The sequence below is a fragment of the Homo sapiens genome, chromosome 11 (assembly GCF_000001405.40).
Source record: "Homo sapiens chromosome 11, GRCh38.p14 Primary Assembly".
In the NCBI taxonomy this organism is placed as follows: domain Eukaryota; kingdom Metazoa; phylum Chordata; class Mammalia; order Primates; family Hominidae; genus Homo; species Homo sapiens.
The window spans coordinates 2,608,328-2,625,508 of NC_000011.10; the positions used below are offsets into that span (position 1 = coordinate 2,608,328).

A 17,181-nucleotide genomic window follows, 5' to 3' on the forward strand; every position below is an offset into this window, starting at 1 on the left:
TAGTCAGTTTTCATAGTTTTCATCTTTCTAGGAATTTGTCAATTTCATCTAAGTTTTATAATTTATTGGCACAAAATTGTTCATAGTGTTCCTTCATAATCCTTTTTATTTCTGTCAGGTTGGTAGTATACTTCCCTCATTCATTCCTTTTTCCTTTTCTTTTTGAGAAACAGAGTCTCTCTCTGTTGCCCAGGCTGGAATAGAGTGGTGTAATCATAGCTCACTGTAACCTCGATCTCCTAGTCTCAAGTGATCCTTGCCCCTTAGCCTATGACAGGTGTGCACCACAACACCAGCTGTTATTCAAAAAATATTTTGTAGAGATAGGGTCTTGCTTTGTTGTGCATGCTATTCTTGAACTCCTGGCCACAAGCAATTCTCGAACTCCTGGCCACAAGCAATTCTCCTGCCTTGGCCTCCCAAAGTGCTGGGATTACAGGTGTGAGCCACTGCAGCTAGCCTCGTTTTTTTGCTTTAATTTGTAAAACTGTCATTCATTTCTGATTTTAGTAATTTGAGTTTTCTCTCTCCCCCTTTGCCTCATGCACTTCCCTCTCTGTCTTTCCTCCTCCCCCTCTTTCTTCCTCCCCTTCTTTTCTTCTCCCTCTCCCTCTCTCTTACCAATCTATCAAAGGTTTGTTAATTTCAAAGAACCAAATTTTGGATTTGTTGACTTTATTATTTTTATATTCTATATTTTATTTCTACTCTAATATTTATTATTTTGTTTTTTCTACTTGCTTTAGGTTTAGTTTGCTCTTCTTTTTCTAGTTTCTTGAGGTGGAGAGTTGGCTTACTGATTTGAAGCCTTATTTTTTGATATAGGCATTCATAGCTATAAAATTCCATCTTTACACTGCTTTAAATGTATCCCATAAGTTCTGTTATGTTGTATCTTCATTTTCATTAATCTCAAAGTACGTTCCATTTCCCTTGTGAATTCTTTCACCCATTGATTATTTAAGAATGTAGTGTTGTTTAATTTCCACATGTGTATGTTTCCCTAATTTCTTTGCTACTGAGTTCTACTTTTATTTCATTATATTCAGAAAAAGATACCTTGTATTATTTCAATCCTTTTAAATTTATGCAGGTTTGTTTCGTGACTTAGCATATGGTCCTTCTTGGAGAATGTCTCATGTGCACTTGAAAATACTGTATATTCAATGTTGGTTGTTGGGCGAAGTGCTCTATAATTACCTTTTGAGTCTAGTTGGTTTATGGTGTTGCTCATATCTTCTGTTTCCTTATTGATCTTCTTTCTTGTACTACACATTATTGAAAGTGGAGTGTTGAAGTCTCCAACTACTATTGTTGAATTGGCTATTTCTCTGTTCAGTTCTGTCAGTTTTTGCTTCTTATGTTTTAGTTCTCTATTGTTAGGTGAATATATGTTTATAATCATTGTATCTTCTCATGAATTGACATTTTATCATTATGAGATATTCATATTTAACTTCAGTAACATTCTTAATTTAAAATCTCCTTTGACTTTATTATAGCACTTCAGGTTACTTATGGTTGCTGCTTACATGATATATCTTTTTCCATCCTTTTACTTTCAGTTGGCATTTATCATCTAAAGTGTGCCTCATATAGATGGAATACAGATGGATCCTGTTTTTCAAATCTGGTCTGATAATTCCTGCCTTTGATTAGATTGTTTAATCCATTCACATTTAATATTATTATTGATATAATTAGATTTATATCCACAGTTTTACTTTTGGTCTTTTCTATGTACTATTTCTTGTTCCTCTATTTCTCCTTTGCTGCTTTCTTTTCCATCTAGTGACTACTTTCTAATATAAATTTTCATTTCTTTTATGATTCTTCAATATTCTATTTGTTATTAGTGTTTGCTCTAGGGCTTACCTTATGTATCGTCTCAAAATTTACTTCATATTTATATTAATCCTGGTGAGATACAGAAGTTATTCCTGTATGAGTTTATTCAGTTTTACCACTTTTTGTGGTATTGTTACATATATTACATCTTTATTATGCGCTATTATAATGATCATACTATATAATGATATATCTTTAAAGAAGCTGAAAGGAGAGCAAGTATATATTTCTAGTTTCTGTTTTATTAACCTCCTTATATCATATATTTGATCCACTTTTTTGGTTTTTATGGATTTGAGTTACCAACTGGTGGTATTTCCTTACTCTAGAACAGCTTTGCTCCTATTTACCTCCTTGCTCTTTGCTTTTGGATATATGTGAACTTCCTGGGAGCACTTCCTTTTTGCCTGAAGAACTTCCTCTAGTAGTTCTTACAAAACTGGTCTGCTAACAAGGAATTCTGTTTTTGTTTATCTGGGAATGCTTTTATTTTGCCTTCTTTTTGAAAGAAACTTTTCTGGACACAGTATTCTTGGTTGGCTTTTTTTTTTTTTTTTTTTTTTTTTTTTTACTTTGAGCACTTGGGATCTGTTACCCCACTACTTTCTGGGTACCACTGTTTCTGACGAAAAGTCAGCTCCACATTTGTCTCCCTGACACCAGAACAGGGGAGGGTATTAAGCAGAGTGCCACATAGCCTCACCTCCCACCATTTCATCCAAGAATAGTAGTTGGGTAATAGTTCAATAACTCACTCTGAATAATTGATAGAACAACAAGACAGAAAATCAACAAGAGTTAGTACTATTATTGTTGAGTTGTCTATTATTGTTCAGTTGTCTGTTTCTCTCTTCATTTCTGACAGTTTTATTTCATATACTTCAGGGCTGTGTTTTTAGCTGTTATAAATTTTTATTTCTTTATGACTTCTGTTTATGATTTCTATTTCTTCCTGTTAAATTTTCCCTTTTGTCATTGTAAAATGCTTCTCAGTATCTCTAATAACATGGTTTGTTTTTAAAGTCTATTTTGTCTGATTTTATTTATTTTTATTTTATTTTTGGGATGGAGTCTCACTCTGTTGCCCAGGCTGGAGTGCAGTGGCGTGACCTTGGCTCACTGCAACCTCTGCCTCCCGGATTCAAGCCGTTCTCTTGCCTCAGCATCCCAAGTAGCTGGGACTACAGGCATTTGCCACCATACCCAGCTAATTTTTAGTAGAGACAGAGTTTCACCATGTTGACCAGGCTGGTCTTGAACTCCTGACCTCGAGTGATCTGTCTGCCTCAGCCTCCCAAAATGCTGGGATTACAGGTGTGAGCCACTGCACCCAGCCAATTTTGTCTGATTTTAGTACAGTCACTCTAGCTTTCTTATTACTGTTTGCATGTCATCTTTTTCCATCATTTTACTTTCAACTATGTCTTTGAATCTAGAATGTGACTCTTATAGACCATATATATTTGGATCCTGCTTTTAAGGCAGTCTGGCAATCTCTGCTCTTTATTGAGTTTTTAATTCACTTATATGTAATATAATTATTGATATGGAAGGATTTATATCTACCATGTTGTTATTTATTTTCTATATGTCTCATATCACTTTTGTTCCTCTCTTCCTCCTTTACTGCCTTCTGCAGGTTGAATAGATATGTTCTAGAGTACCATTCTAATTCCTTTGTTAGTTTATTTCCCCCATTTTTAAAGTGTAATCTGGAGGTTACAATAAGCAGCTTAAGCAAAAACAATCTGCTTCAGGTTAATAATCTACTCAAATATTTTTGTCTGCCCTATTCTCTCCTTCTCAGTACTCTTATTAACACATATGTTGTTACTCCTTAATTCCACATATGTTTTCTACTCTTAATTACATATATGTTACAACTTAATTACACATACATTGTTACACATCCTGTTAGGACAGGGGTTCCCAACCCCAGGGCCATGGACTGGTACCAGTCTGTGGCCTATTAGAAACTGGGCTACACAGCAGGAGGTGAGCAGCAGGCAAGCAAGCATTACTGCCTGAGCTCTGCCTCCTGTCTGATCAGTGATGGCATTAGATTCTCACAGAGAGCAAATCCTATTGTGAACTGAGCATGTGAGGGATCTAGGTTGTGCACTCCGTATGAGAATCTAACTAAAGCCTCCCCCAACTGGCTGTGGAAAAATTGTCTTCCACAAAACTGGTCCCTCATGCCAAAAAGGTTGGGGACCACTATATTATGGTATCCAATGGGTATCTCTTCATTTTTCTTCATTATTTTTCTTTCTATTCTTCAGTCTGAATCATCTTTATGGATCTGCGTTGAAGTTCATTGATTCTTTCTTCTGCCAGGTCAAATTTGCTTAGCCGCACTAGTGAGTTTTTCACCTAAGTTATTATATTTCACAACTACAGAATTTCTATTTGGTTTCTAATTTCTATCTCTATATTGATATTATCTATTTGATGAGTCTTTGTCATCACACTTGCATTCTTTAATGTGGTTTCTTTTGGTTCTTTGAACATAGTTATAATACTTACTTTGAAATCGCGCCCTAACATTTGGGGCCCTTCAGAGATAATTCCTATTTATTGCTCATTATTCTTGTTCAAGGGTCACAATTTTCTGTTTCTTTGCATATCTCATTTTTTTTGTTAAAAACTTACTTTAGATAATATATCGTAGAAACTCTGGATTCTAGTTCTTCTCCCTAACCAGGGATGATTTCTGTTACTCATTTATTTGTTTGCTCGCTTGTGTATGCCTTCTCTGCATGGATTCTGCAGAGTCTGTGTTCTCCTGCAGTGTGCAGCCACTGGTGTCTTTGCTCAGTTTTGTTTGTTTTAATTCTTATGTTTGTTTTGTAAGCCTGGCTTCATTGGTGTCACCCCTGGATCAGCATAACCTAGTGGTCAAGCCATGATTAGTCAGACATTTGTTTAAACATCTTGAGCCAGTGAATCTTCCACCCTCTGCTGAGGGGATCTATGTGTGGGTTGGGACATTCAAAGTTCAGGCACTTTATAACTCTGTCCTGTATTTTACTGTCTGCTTGCAAAAGGTCTCACAGTCAGCCAAGGATAAGTAGATAGCAGGAAACCTCTCTGATCTCTCCTGCAAGCATGTACAACTTCCATATCTCCAGAATTCCTTTTAAAATTTTTCTTAATCTGTCGCTTGCCCAACCAGTATTGAAACATTAGGTTGCTGTGATGTGGGTTGCCTCCAATTATTTGCCACTGAAATCCTTGTTGCTTAACATAGTGCATAGGGTTTTCTATGGAATTCAAAATCAGATGAGCCTTCTTTGTTGCTGGTCCTCAAGCCTACCGTGCCCCTGAGCTTGGGTGGGGAGATGGCAGCCCCACGTTAAATCATAACCCTGCTATTCTTAGGAAGGCTTAATATTTTTTCTTTAATTAGCACTTTTCAATTTTATATTTCTTTGTCCAGTTTTATCATTGCTTTTCAGGGAGTGGTTATATCAAGGTGCTCATTCCACCACCTCAGAAGTGGTCCCTATCTTGTTAATTTTATTTTTTGAATACATATAACATTAACATACTTCCAAAAGTCAATACTAAACAAAAGGAGCTACTGAGAGAAATCTTCCTCTCACCCATATCTCTTCCATCCTAATTCCCCCTACCCATTATAGGTAACCAGTTTCAGTGTTTTCTAGTTTATAGTTTGTGTGTGTTTGCTCTTTATAAGACATGATTATTTTCTCATTTCCCAAAAAAGTACTATTCTGTATATGCCCTTTTGAACTTTGCTTTTCTCACCTAACAACATCTCCTAGAAATCACTCAACATCCATTCACAGAGATCTTTCTCATTGCATTGCTAAAGTTGCATAGTATTCCTTAGTGTGACTGTGCTATAACCTTTCAACCAATCTCTTATGCTTGCATGTGTAGGTGGTTTCTAGATGGCAGCTATGCTCACCATTCTTTGGCTTTCCTACCATGTCTCTGAGATACATCTACTCCATAAATCGAATCTACCCCCAAGAGGTGATTCTCTGAGGGTGCCACCTCAAATCTTAGTCATTTGCAAGAGCCTCCACTATAGCTGCTGCTCTGGACTACCTATTTCTGACATGTGTTCTCCATGTTGACATTTAATATAGAGTCTTCTTTTTCTGGTGATAATTCTGTCTGTGCTGCTTTTTAGTCTTCTGTGCACCCTTTAAATTTTTTAAGTAACAGAAACCATTTCAAAATGTACAATTCAGTGTCACTTAGTACATTTACAATATTGTGTTTTTTGTGTCTTTTCTAAGAATTTATTTCCAATCTCAAGTCATAAAGATTTACTCCTGTTTTCTACTAAGAAATTTATGCCTTTAACTCTTATTTTTTGGTCTCTGATACATTTTGAGATAATTTTTATATGCTATGAGTTATGGGTCCAACTTCATTCTTTGATATATGAGGATCCAGTTGCCCCAGCACCATTTGTTAAAAGACTACTCTTCCCACTGAATTCTTGATACATTTGTTGAAAATGAATTGATCATATATGTGAGTGTTTATTTCTACATTCTCTATTATATTCCATTGGTCTATATGTCCATCCTTGTGTCCTAGAGACCACATTGTGTCAGTACCACATTGTTTTGATTACTGCAGCTTTGTAAAAGTTTTGAAAATGGCAGGCCTGAGTCTTCCAACTTTGTTCTTTTTCAATATGATTTTAGATTGTTTGGGGCCCTGGGAAAATTCCATTTACATTTTAAAATCAGTTTTTACATTTCTGCAAATAAAAAGGCCCTTGGGATTTTGATAAGGGTTGCATTGAATCTGTAGATCACTGGGTAATATCGCCAACTTAACAATATTTAATCTTCCAATCTGTGAACACAGGATGTATAGTTCTATTTATTTAAGTCTTCTTTAATTTTTGTCAACAGTGTTTTGTAGTCTTTAGTGCAGAAGTCTTTCACCTTCTTGTTTTAATTTATTCCTAGCTATTTTACTCTTTTTGATGCTATTGTAAGTGGAATTTTAAAAATTGACTTCCTTCTTGGGCTGTTCATTCCTGGTATATAGAGGCACAAATGATTTTCTTAAAATAAATGTTGAACATGTACCCTGCAATTTTGCTGGACTTGTTTATTAGCTCTACTAGTTTGTGGATTCTTTGATTTTCTAGATAGAAGATGTCATTATTGAATAAAGAGTTTTACTGCTTCCTTTCCAATTTGGATGCTATTCATTTACCTGTTTGTTTATTTATCTGCCTAATTGTCATGGTTAAAACTTTCAGTACATTGTTCAATAGCACTGGGTAAAGCATACAGCCATATCTTACTCTTTGTTATGGGAGAAATTTTTCAGTTTTTTTTCTCATTAAGTATATTAGTTGTGGATTTTTCACAAATCCTCTTTAACACATTTTGAAAGTTCCATGTTTTTATCCTGAAAGGTTGTAGAATTTTGTCAAATGCTTGTTCTGAGTGAATTGAAATGATTGCATGGATTTTTTATCCTTCATTGTATTAATGTGGTGTATTACATTGATTGATACTCTTGTACTGAACCACCCTTGTATTCTTGAGATAAATTCCATGTGGTCATGATATATAATCCTTTTTAATATGCTGCTGAATTTGGCTTACTAGTACTTTGTTAAATAAAAGATTTTAGTATCTAGTTTGTCTTTTCTTGTGGTATATTTGTCTGGCTTTGGAATCCATGTAATACTGGCCTCATAGAATGTATTGCAAAGTTTTTTCTCCTCTGTTTTTTGGAAGAGTTTGAGAGGGATTGGTGTGAATTCTTCAAGTGTTTGGTATAATTCAACAGTGACGCCATCTGTGTAGCATTTTCTTCATTGGAAGGTTTTTGGTTACTGATTCAAACTTTCTACTTGTTATGGGTCTGCTCATAATTTCAATTTCTGTTTTGGTCTGTATTAGTATTTTGTGAATTCGTCCATCTTATCTAGGTTATATAATTTGTTGGTATACAGTTATTCATAGTATTCTTTTATCACACTTTTTATTTCTGTAAGATCAGTTATATCGTTCCCACTTTTGTTTTTTTTTCTTATTTTTGTTTTTTTTTGTTGTGTTCCTACTTTTGTTTATGATTTTAGATATGTGCAACTTCTCTAATTTTTTATTAGTCATTCTAGTTAAAGGTTTTCAACTTTGATCTTTTCAAAAACAAGCAACTTTTGGTTTTGTTAAATTATCTCTGTTGTTTATTTAAGCTCGAATTCAGTTTTATCTCCACTCATACATATTATTTCATTCTCTCTTTTAACTTTAGGTTTACTTCGTTCTTCTTTCTCTGGTTACGTAAGGTATAATATTAGGTTATGGATCCTTCTTCTTTTTCAGTGTGGGCATTCACAGCTATAATTTTTCCTCTGAGCACTTCTTTCACTACATCCCATAAGTCTGAGTATGTTGTGTCGTCATTTTCACTTTTTGAAAGTATTTTATAATTTCCCTTCTGATGTCTTCTTTGACACAATAATTTTTAAAGAGTGTGTAGTTTTATTTCCCTGAATTTGTTAATTTTTAGGTTTTTCTTCTGTTACAGATTTCTGGCCTCACTATATTGTAGTTAGAGAAGATATTTTGTATGATTTCTATATTTTAAAATTTATTGAGACTCTTTTGTGGCCTAACATATCATCCCTCCTAGGGAATGTTCCATGTGCACTTGAGAAGAATGTGTAGTTGGGTGGAGTGTCCATATATGTTTGTAGGTCTAGTTGGTTTATGGTATTGTTCAAGTCCTCTCTTTTCTTATTGGGCTTCTGTCTGGCTGTACATTATCTTGTTGTGTTTTTTTTTTTTAATTTTAAAAATATGCATATTTAGTGTATAAAACATACAGTTAAATCGTTAACATAGTGATGCAAATTAATATGTCCATCATCTCACAGTTATTCTTTTGTGTGTATGAGTGAGAAAAGCTATGATCTACTCAATTGGCAAAAATTCCAAATGCAATATACTAACTATTCTCATGTTCTACATGAGATCTCTAGACTTGTTCATCCTATATATCTGCTACTTGGTATCCTTTGACCTACATCTTTCCATTTTCTTCCCCCACACCTTGCCCATGGTAACCACTAGTTTATTCTATCTCTGTATATTTGACTTTTTTCTTTTTAAGATTCTACATATAGGTGAGATTATTTAAAACTTTTCATTTGTATATGGCTTATTTAACTTAGCACAATGTCTTCCAGTTTCATCCATGTGGCAAGTGGCAGGATCTCCTTTTTTAATGCGGAATAATATTCCATTGTAGACATACACACCACAGTTTAGTCATCCATCAATGGACACGTAAGTTTTCATATCGTGACTCATGCATATAATGCCACAATGAATATAGGAGCGCAGATATCTTTATGAGGTGGAGATTTCATTTTCTTTGGGAATATACCTAGAAGAGGGATTAGTGGGTCAGATGATAGTATATTTTCAATTTCTTTAGGAGCCACCATTCTGTTTTTCATTATGACTGCACCAATCTACAGTCCCACCAACACTGTACAAGAGTTCCCTAACCCTAGCCAACACTTAATAGCTATTCTCATGAGTGTGAGGTGATATCGCATAGTAATTTTGATTTGCATTTCCCTGACGATTAGTGATGTTAAATGTCTTTTCATATATGTGTTTGCCATTTTTATAACTTCTTTGCAAAAATGTCTACTCAGTTCCACTGCCCATTTTTTAATTGGGTTATCTATTTTCTTGTTATTGAGTTGTATGCATTCCTTATAAATTTTGGATATTATCCTCTTATAAGATATATGGTTGGCAAATATTTTCTTCTAGTCCATAGGTTGCCTTTTCCTTTTGTTGACTGTTTCCGTTCCTGTGCAGAAGTTTTTTAGTTTGATGGTATACCAATTATTTGTTTTTGTAGCCTGAGCTTTTGGTGTGATCTCCAAAAAATCACTGCCAGAGCCATGTCGAGCTTTTCCCCTATGTTTTCTTCTGGTTGTGGGTTTTGGTCTTATGTTTAGGTCTTTTATCCATTTTGAGTTTATTTCTATGTATGGTGTAAGGCAGCGATATCAAATCTTTTGGCTTCCCGGGGCCACACTGTAAGAACAATTGTCTTAGGCCACACATAAAATACACTAACAATAACAACAGCTGATGGGCTAAAAAAATGCAAAAAAATTCAATGTTTTAACAAAGTTTACAAATTTGTGTTGGGCCTCATTAAAGCCATCCTGGGCTTACATGTGGTCTGTGGGCCATGGGTTGGACAAGCCACAGAACTGGGTTTCCTAACGTCATTTATGAGAGAGACTATCTTTCTGCATTGTTTTCTTCGTGTTCTTGTGGAAAATTGGTTGATCATATATCTTTGAATTTCTTTCTGGGCTCTCTATTCTGTTCCACTGGTCTACATGTTTGTTTTTTATGCCAGGACCATACTGTTTGATCAATAGTTTTGTAAAATAAACCAGAAAGTATGAAGTCTCCCTTTGTTTTTCAGAACAGAATTTTCAGAATTTCGTTGGCTACTTAAGGTTCTTGCTATTCCAAATGAACTTTAGAATTTAAAAAAATTTTCCATGGGATTTTGATAGGGATTTTATTCAATCTGTATATTGATTTGGATATTATTGACATTTTAACAATATTATTCAGATTCATGAGCATGGGATATCTTTCCATTTATTTGTATCTTGTTTAATTTCTTTCATCAATGATTCATAGTTTTCAGTGTACAGGTCTTTCATCTTTTTGGCTAAATTTATTCCTAAGCAATTTTTTTGATGCTATCATAAATGGGATTGTTTTCTTGATTTCTTTTTTGGCCAGGTCATTATTTGTGTATAGAAATGCAACTACTGTTTTATATTGATTTTATATCCTACAACTTTACTGAACTCATTTATTAGTTCTAACAGGTTGCTTTGTCAGAGTCTTCGGGGTTTTCTATATGTAGGATCATGTCATCTTCATATAAAGATAATATTACTTCTTACTTCCTGATTTGAATGTCTTTCATTTCTTTTTCTTGTCTGTTTGGTTGTACTAGTACTTCCAGTACTATGTTGAGTAGTAGTAGCTAGAGTGGGCATCCTTGCCTTGTACTGGTTCATAGTAGAAGGGCTTCTGTTTTCCCTCATTGATTATAACGTTAGCTGTGGGCTTTTCATAAATGGCATTCGTTATATTGAGGAGTGTTCCTTCTATACCTGAACTGTTAGAATTTATCAACAAAGGATGTTCAACTTCATCAAATACTTTTTGTGTGTCAATTGAGATGATCATGTGGTTTTCATCTTTCAGTCTGTTAGTATCACATTGATTGCTACATGTATATTAAATAAGATTTGCATGCCAGAAATTAATTCCACATAGACATGATATATAATCTTTTTGATGTATTGTTAAATTTAGTCTGCCAATATTTTATTAAGGATTTTTGCATCGGTATTCTTGGGTTATGTTGGCCTGTAGTTTCCTTTTCTTGTGATGCCTTTGGCTCACCTGGGTATCAAGGTGATGCTGGCCTCATAAAATGTGTTAGGAAGTATTCCCTTTAGCTGCATTTTTTTTTTTTTGGAAGTATTCCCTATAGCTGCATTTTTTTGGAAGAGTTTAAGAAGTATTGGTATTCTTTGAATATTGGGTAGTATTCAGTCATGAAGCTATCTGGTCCTGGGCTTTTCTTTGTTTGAGGTTTTGGGGTTTTTTTAACTTTTATTTTTGATTTAGAGGGTATATGTACAGGTCTATATGTTGCATGGTATATGGAGTATACTGCATGATGATGAGGTTTGGAGTGTGGATAAGCCTATCACCCAGGTAGTGAGCATAGTACCCAATAGGTAGGTTTTCAGCCCACCTCTCCATTCCTCCCCCAAGTAGTCCCCAGTGTCTACTGATCATCTTTATGTCCATGTTTACTCAGTGTTTAGGTCCCACTTGCAAGTGGTAACATGCAGTATTTGGTTTTCTGTTCCTGCATTAATTTGCTTAAGATAGTGGCCTCTAGCTGCATCCATGTTGCTGCAAAGGACGTAAGTTCATTCATGTATATATATATATTTTTTTTTTTTATTTTTTTTTTAGACGGAGTTTCGCTCTTGTTGCCCAGGCTGGAGGGCAATGGCATGATCTCGGCTCACTGCAGCCTCCGCCTACCGGGTTCAAGTGATTCTCCTGCCTCAGCCTCCTGAGTAGCTGGGATTAGAGGCATGCGCCACCACGTCCAGCTAATTTTGTAGTTTTAGTAGAGACAGGGTTTTTCCATGTTGGTCAGGCTGGTCTCGAACTCCTGACCTCAGGTGATCCACCCGCCTTGGCCTCCCAAAGTGCTGGGATTACAGGTGAGAGCTACCGCACCTGGCCGAATTCATTCATTTTTATGGCTGCATAGTATTCCATGGTGTACATGTACCACATTTTCTTTATCCAATCCACCACTGATGGGCATCTAAGTGGATTCCATGTCTTTGCTGTTGTGAATAGTGCTGTGATGAACATACAAATGCATGTGTCTTTTTGATAGAACAATTTATTTTCCTTTGAATATATATCCAGTAATGGGATTGCTGGGTCAGATGGTAGTTCTGTTTTCAGTTATTTGAGAAAACTCCAAACTGCTTAGCACAGTGGCTGAACTAATTTGTATTCCTGCCAACAGTGTATAAGCGTTCCCTTTTCTCTGCAGCCTTCCCAGCAACTTTTATTTTTTTGACTTTTTAATAATTGCCATTCTGACTGGTGTGAGATGGCATCCCATTATGGTTTGGTGTTTTTTTGTTGTTGTTGTTTTGTTTTGTTTTTTTTTGTCTGTTTTTTGCTTTTTTGTTTGTTTGTTTGTTTTTTGAGAAAGAGTCTTGCTCTGTCTCCCAGGCTGGAGTGCAGTGGCGCAATCTCGGCTCACTGCAACCTCCACCTCCTGGGTTCAAGCAATTCTCCTGTCTCAGACTCCTGAGTAGCTGGGATTACAGGTGACCGCCACCATACCTGGCTAATTTTTGTGTTTTTAGTAGAGACGGGGTTTCACCATGTTGGCCAGGATGGTCTCGAATACCTGACCCCAGATGATCCACGCACCTCAGCCTCCCAAAGTGCTAGGACTACAGGCATGAGCCACCGTGCCTGGCCTCATTATTTGCATTTCTGATTATTAGTGATCATGAGAATGTTTTTTTGTTTGGCTACTTCTGTATTTTCTTTTAAGAAATGTATGTTCCTGTCCTTTGCCAATTCAATTGGATTATTCGTTTTTTGCTTGTTGATTGGTTTAAGTTCCTTATGGATTCTGGACATAGGACCTTTGCCAGATGAATAGTTTGCAAATATTTTTTCTCCCATTCTATATGTTGTCTGTTTACTCTGTTGATAATTTCTTTTGCTATGCAGAAGCTCTTTAGTTTACCACTGTGATCTCTTTGCTATTGGTCTGTTCAGGCTTTCTATTCCTGATTTAATCTTAGCAGGTTGGTTTTTTTCTAGGAATTTGTCCATTTCCTCTAGGTTATCCAATTTGTTGGGATATAATTGTTCATAAAAGTCCCTTATGATCCTTTTTATTTCTGAAGTACCTGTTGTAATATATTCTCCATTTTCATTTCTGATTTTGTCCTCTTTCTTAGTCCAAGAGTTTGTTGATTTTATTTTTCAAAAATCAATTCTTTGTTTCAAAAATTGAAGTCTTAGTTTTACTGACTTTTTTCCCCTATGGTTTTTCTTTCTAACTTGTCTCTGTTCTGATCTTTATTATTTCCTTCTGTTAACTTTGGCTTTAGTTTGTTCTTCTTTTTCTAATTCCTTGAGGTACAATTTTGGGCTATTTGAAATATCTCTTCTTTTTTAATGTAGGCAAGGCATTTATTGCTGTAAACTTCCCTCTTAGAACTGCTTTTGCTGCATGTTTTGCTTTTGGTATGTTGTGTTCCCACTGTCATTTGTCTGAAGATATTTTTAAGTTTCTGTTTTCATTTCTTCTTTGACTCTACCCATTACTGAAAGTACGTTATTGAAGTCCCTAAGTATTATTGTAGAACTGTCTTTCTCACTCCAATTCTGTCAGTATATTTTCTTATATTCTGGGGCTCTATATTTTGGTGTGTATACGTTTCCAATTGCGAAGTCTTGAGTAATTTTCCATTTTCTCAGTATGTAATGTCCTCCTTTGTCTCCTATAACAATTTTTAAATTCAAGTTTATTTCTTTTATTAGTATAATTACCTCCAGCTTTCTTTAGGTTACTATTTGTATGAAATATCATTTTTCATTCTTTCACTTTCAATCTACTTGTGTCTTTAGACCAAAAGTGAGTTTGTTATATACAGCATAGGTTGATGGTTTTCTTTTAAATCCATTCTGCCAACCTCTGCTTTTTGGAGAATTTAATCGACTTACATTTAAAGTACTTACTTATAAAAAAGAAGTTCTGACATTTTGTGCCTTTTCTTTTGCCTTACATTTTTTAAATACAACATTTCCTCCCTTACTGCCTTTTTTTGTGTTTGATGATTTTCTGATAGTGTACCATTATGATTCTCTATTCGATTGTCTGTATGTGTGTATGTGTATTTTAAAGACTTTATATTTTTAGAGCAGTTTTAGGGTTCCAGCAAAATTGAGAGGTAAGTACAGAGATTTCCCGTATACCCACTGCACCCATACATACAGAGCTTTTCCCATTACCAACTCTCCCACCAGAGTGGCACGTTTGTTACAACTTATGAATCTGCATTTACACATTATTATCAAAGTCCCTAGTTAACATTAGGGCTCACTGTTGGGGTGTACATTCTGTGGGTTTCTACAAATGTGTAACATGTTGATATGGTTTGGCTCTGTGTTCCCACCCAAATCTCATCTTGAACTGTAATCCCCATGTGTCAGGGGAGGGGCCTGGTGGGGGGCAAACTTCCCCCTTGCTGTTCTCATGATAGTGAGTTCTCATGAGATCTGGTTGTTTAAACGTGTGTGGCACTTCCCATCTCACTTTCTTTCCCTCTCCTGTTCTGCCATGGTAAAGATGTGCCTGCTTCTCCTTTGCCTTCCGCCATGATTTTAAGTTTCTGAGGCCTGCCAGCCATGCTTACTGTACAGCCTACAAAACTGTGAGTCAATTAAACCTCTTTTCTCACAAATTACCCAGTCTCAGGTAGTTCTTTATAGCACTGTGAGAACGGACTAATATGCATGTATCTACCATTATAGTATCATACAGATACGTATATTTACATATATTTGTACATTTTCACTGCCCTAAAAGTACTCTGTGCACTGCCTATTCAACCCTTCTTCCCCAACAACCCTTGGCAACCACTGAACTTTTTACTGCCTCCATAGCATTGCCTTTTCTAAAATGCAATATGATTGGAATCATACAGTATGTAGTTTCTTCAGATTGCCTTATTTCACATAGTAATATGTTTTTTAATTACCTCCATATCTTTTCATGGCTTGATAGCTCATTTCTATTTAGTGATGAATAATATTTCATTGCCTGGATGTACTACAGTTTATCTGTCTACTCACCTATGGAAGGACATCTCGGTTGCTTCCAATTTCAACAATCACAAATAAAGCTTCTGTAAACATCTCTGTGCAGATTTTTATGTGAATATAAGTCTTCACCTCCTTTGAGTAAATACCAAGGATGTGATTGCTGAACTGCATGGTAAGAATATGTTTAATTTTATAAGAAACCACTGATTTCGATATACTCTGGATTCTTCGGGGGATATGTATACACATTCAGAAGTGGAATTGATGGATCCTATGATAATTCCATTTTTAATTCTTTGAAGAACCACCAAACTCTTCTCCACCAGGGCTGCACCACTTTACATTCCCATTAATGGTATATGTCAAAGTGGCTGTACCATTTTGCATTCCCACCAGCAATGGATGAGTGTTCCTGTTGCCCCACATATTGGCAAGTATTTGGTATTGTCAGTGTTTTGAATTTTGGCCATTCTAATAAGCGTGTAGATATATCACATTTCTTGTTTTAATTTCCATTTCCCTAATGACGTAAGATGTGGGGCATCTTTTCATATACTTAGTTGCCATCTGTATATCTTCATTGGTGAGATGTCTGTTAAGGTCTTCAGTCCATTTTGTAATCAGATTGTTTGTTTTCTAATTGTTATGTTTTTAAGGTTCTTTATATATTTTGGATGAGTCCTTTATCAGGTATATCTTTTACAAGTATTGTCTCCCTTCTGTGGCCTGTCCTTTCATCCTCTTGACAGTATGTTTTACAGAGCAGAAACTTTTATTTTTAACAAAGTCTAGCTTATCAATTATTTCTTTCATGAATCATGCCTTTGGTGTCATATCTAAAAAGCCATCACCAAACTAAAGATCATCTAGATTTCTTCCTATGTTATCTTCTGGGATTTCTATTTGTTGTTGATTTCCAAATCTTTTATTGTGGCAAAATACACTTAACATAAAAATTACCATCCTAACCAATTTTAGTGTACAATTCAGTGAATGTATTAGATACGTTCACAATGCTGTGCAATCATCACTATCATCCATCTCCATAACACTTGTCATTTGTAATTATGAAACTCTATATCCATTAAACAATAATTCCCCAACCCCCCCACCACCGCCATCTCTTGGAAACCACCTTGTACTTTCTATGTCTCTGATTTGACTATTCTACATACCTCATATAAGTGGAAACATACAGTACTTCTCTTCTTGTGACTGCTGTATTTCATTTAACATAATGGCCTCGAGGTTCATCCATGTTGTGGCATGTGTCAAAATTTCTATTTTTTTTAAAGCTGAATAATATTACATTGTATGTATATACCACATTTTGCTTATCCATTCTTCCATGGACATTTGGGTTGCATTGATGTTTTAACTGTTGTAAATAATGCCACTACAATCGTGGGTATACAAATATATCTTTGAGACTGCTTTTAATCCTTCTGGGTGTATACACAGAGGTGGAGTTGATGGATCAGATAATTCTGTTTTTAATTTTTGAAGGAACACCAAACTGTTTAACACAGAGGCTGTACCATTTTGCATTCCCACTAACAGTGCACAAGGATTCCAATTTCTCCATGTCCCTTCCAGCAGTGGTTATTTTCTGTTTATGTGGGATTTTTTTGAGACAAGATCTGGCTCTGTCACTTAGGCTGGAATGCAGTGGCATGATCATGGCACACTGCAGCCTCAACCTAGACCTCTGGGCTTAGGCTATCCTCCCACCTTAACCTCCCACGTAGCTGATACTAGAGATGGGTCTCACTATGTTGCCTAGGCTGTGTTTATTTTTTTAATAGTAGTCATCTGAGTGTATGTAAGGTTGTGGTTTTGACTTGTATTTCCTAATGACTAGAGATGTTAA

General features: G+C 35.5%; 1 protein-coding gene and 1 long non-coding RNA gene across 6 annotated transcripts in view, besides 2 other annotated features; one reads left to right on the forward strand and one right to left on the reverse strand.

Moving 5' to 3' along the window:
- The window catches only part of KCNQ1 (potassium voltage-gated channel subfamily Q member 1), a 404,098-nt gene that overhangs the window by 163,320 nt on the left and 223,597 nt on the right, over positions 1 to 17,181 (forward strand). The gene's annotated exons all lie outside the window — the stretch shown is intronic.
- KCNQ1OT1 (KCNQ1 opposite strand/antisense transcript 1) overlaps positions 1 to 17,181 on the reverse strand; it is a 91,667-nt gene continuing 74,486 nt past the window's right edge. Inside the window, exon 1 of the long non-coding RNA NR_002728.4 lies at positions 1 to 17,181. This exon is cut by the window's right edge and continues 74,486 nt beyond it. This is a non-coding gene — a long non-coding RNA (KCNQ1 opposite strand/antisense transcript 1).
- Positions 12,875 to 12,954: a silencer, noted in NCBI's record as "silent region_3071". NCBI's record gives its function as "represses an Ori minimal core promoter by ATAC-STARR-seq in GM12878 lymphoblastoid cells {active_cell/tissue: GM12878}" and the evidence as "EXISTENCE:reporter gene assay evidence [ECO:0000049][PMID:35858748]".
- Positions 13,707 to 13,876: an enhancer, noted in NCBI's record as "active region_4306". NCBI's record gives its function as "activates an Ori minimal core promoter by ATAC-STARR-seq in GM12878 lymphoblastoid cells {active_cell/tissue: GM12878}" and the evidence as "EXISTENCE:reporter gene assay evidence [ECO:0000049][PMID:35858748]".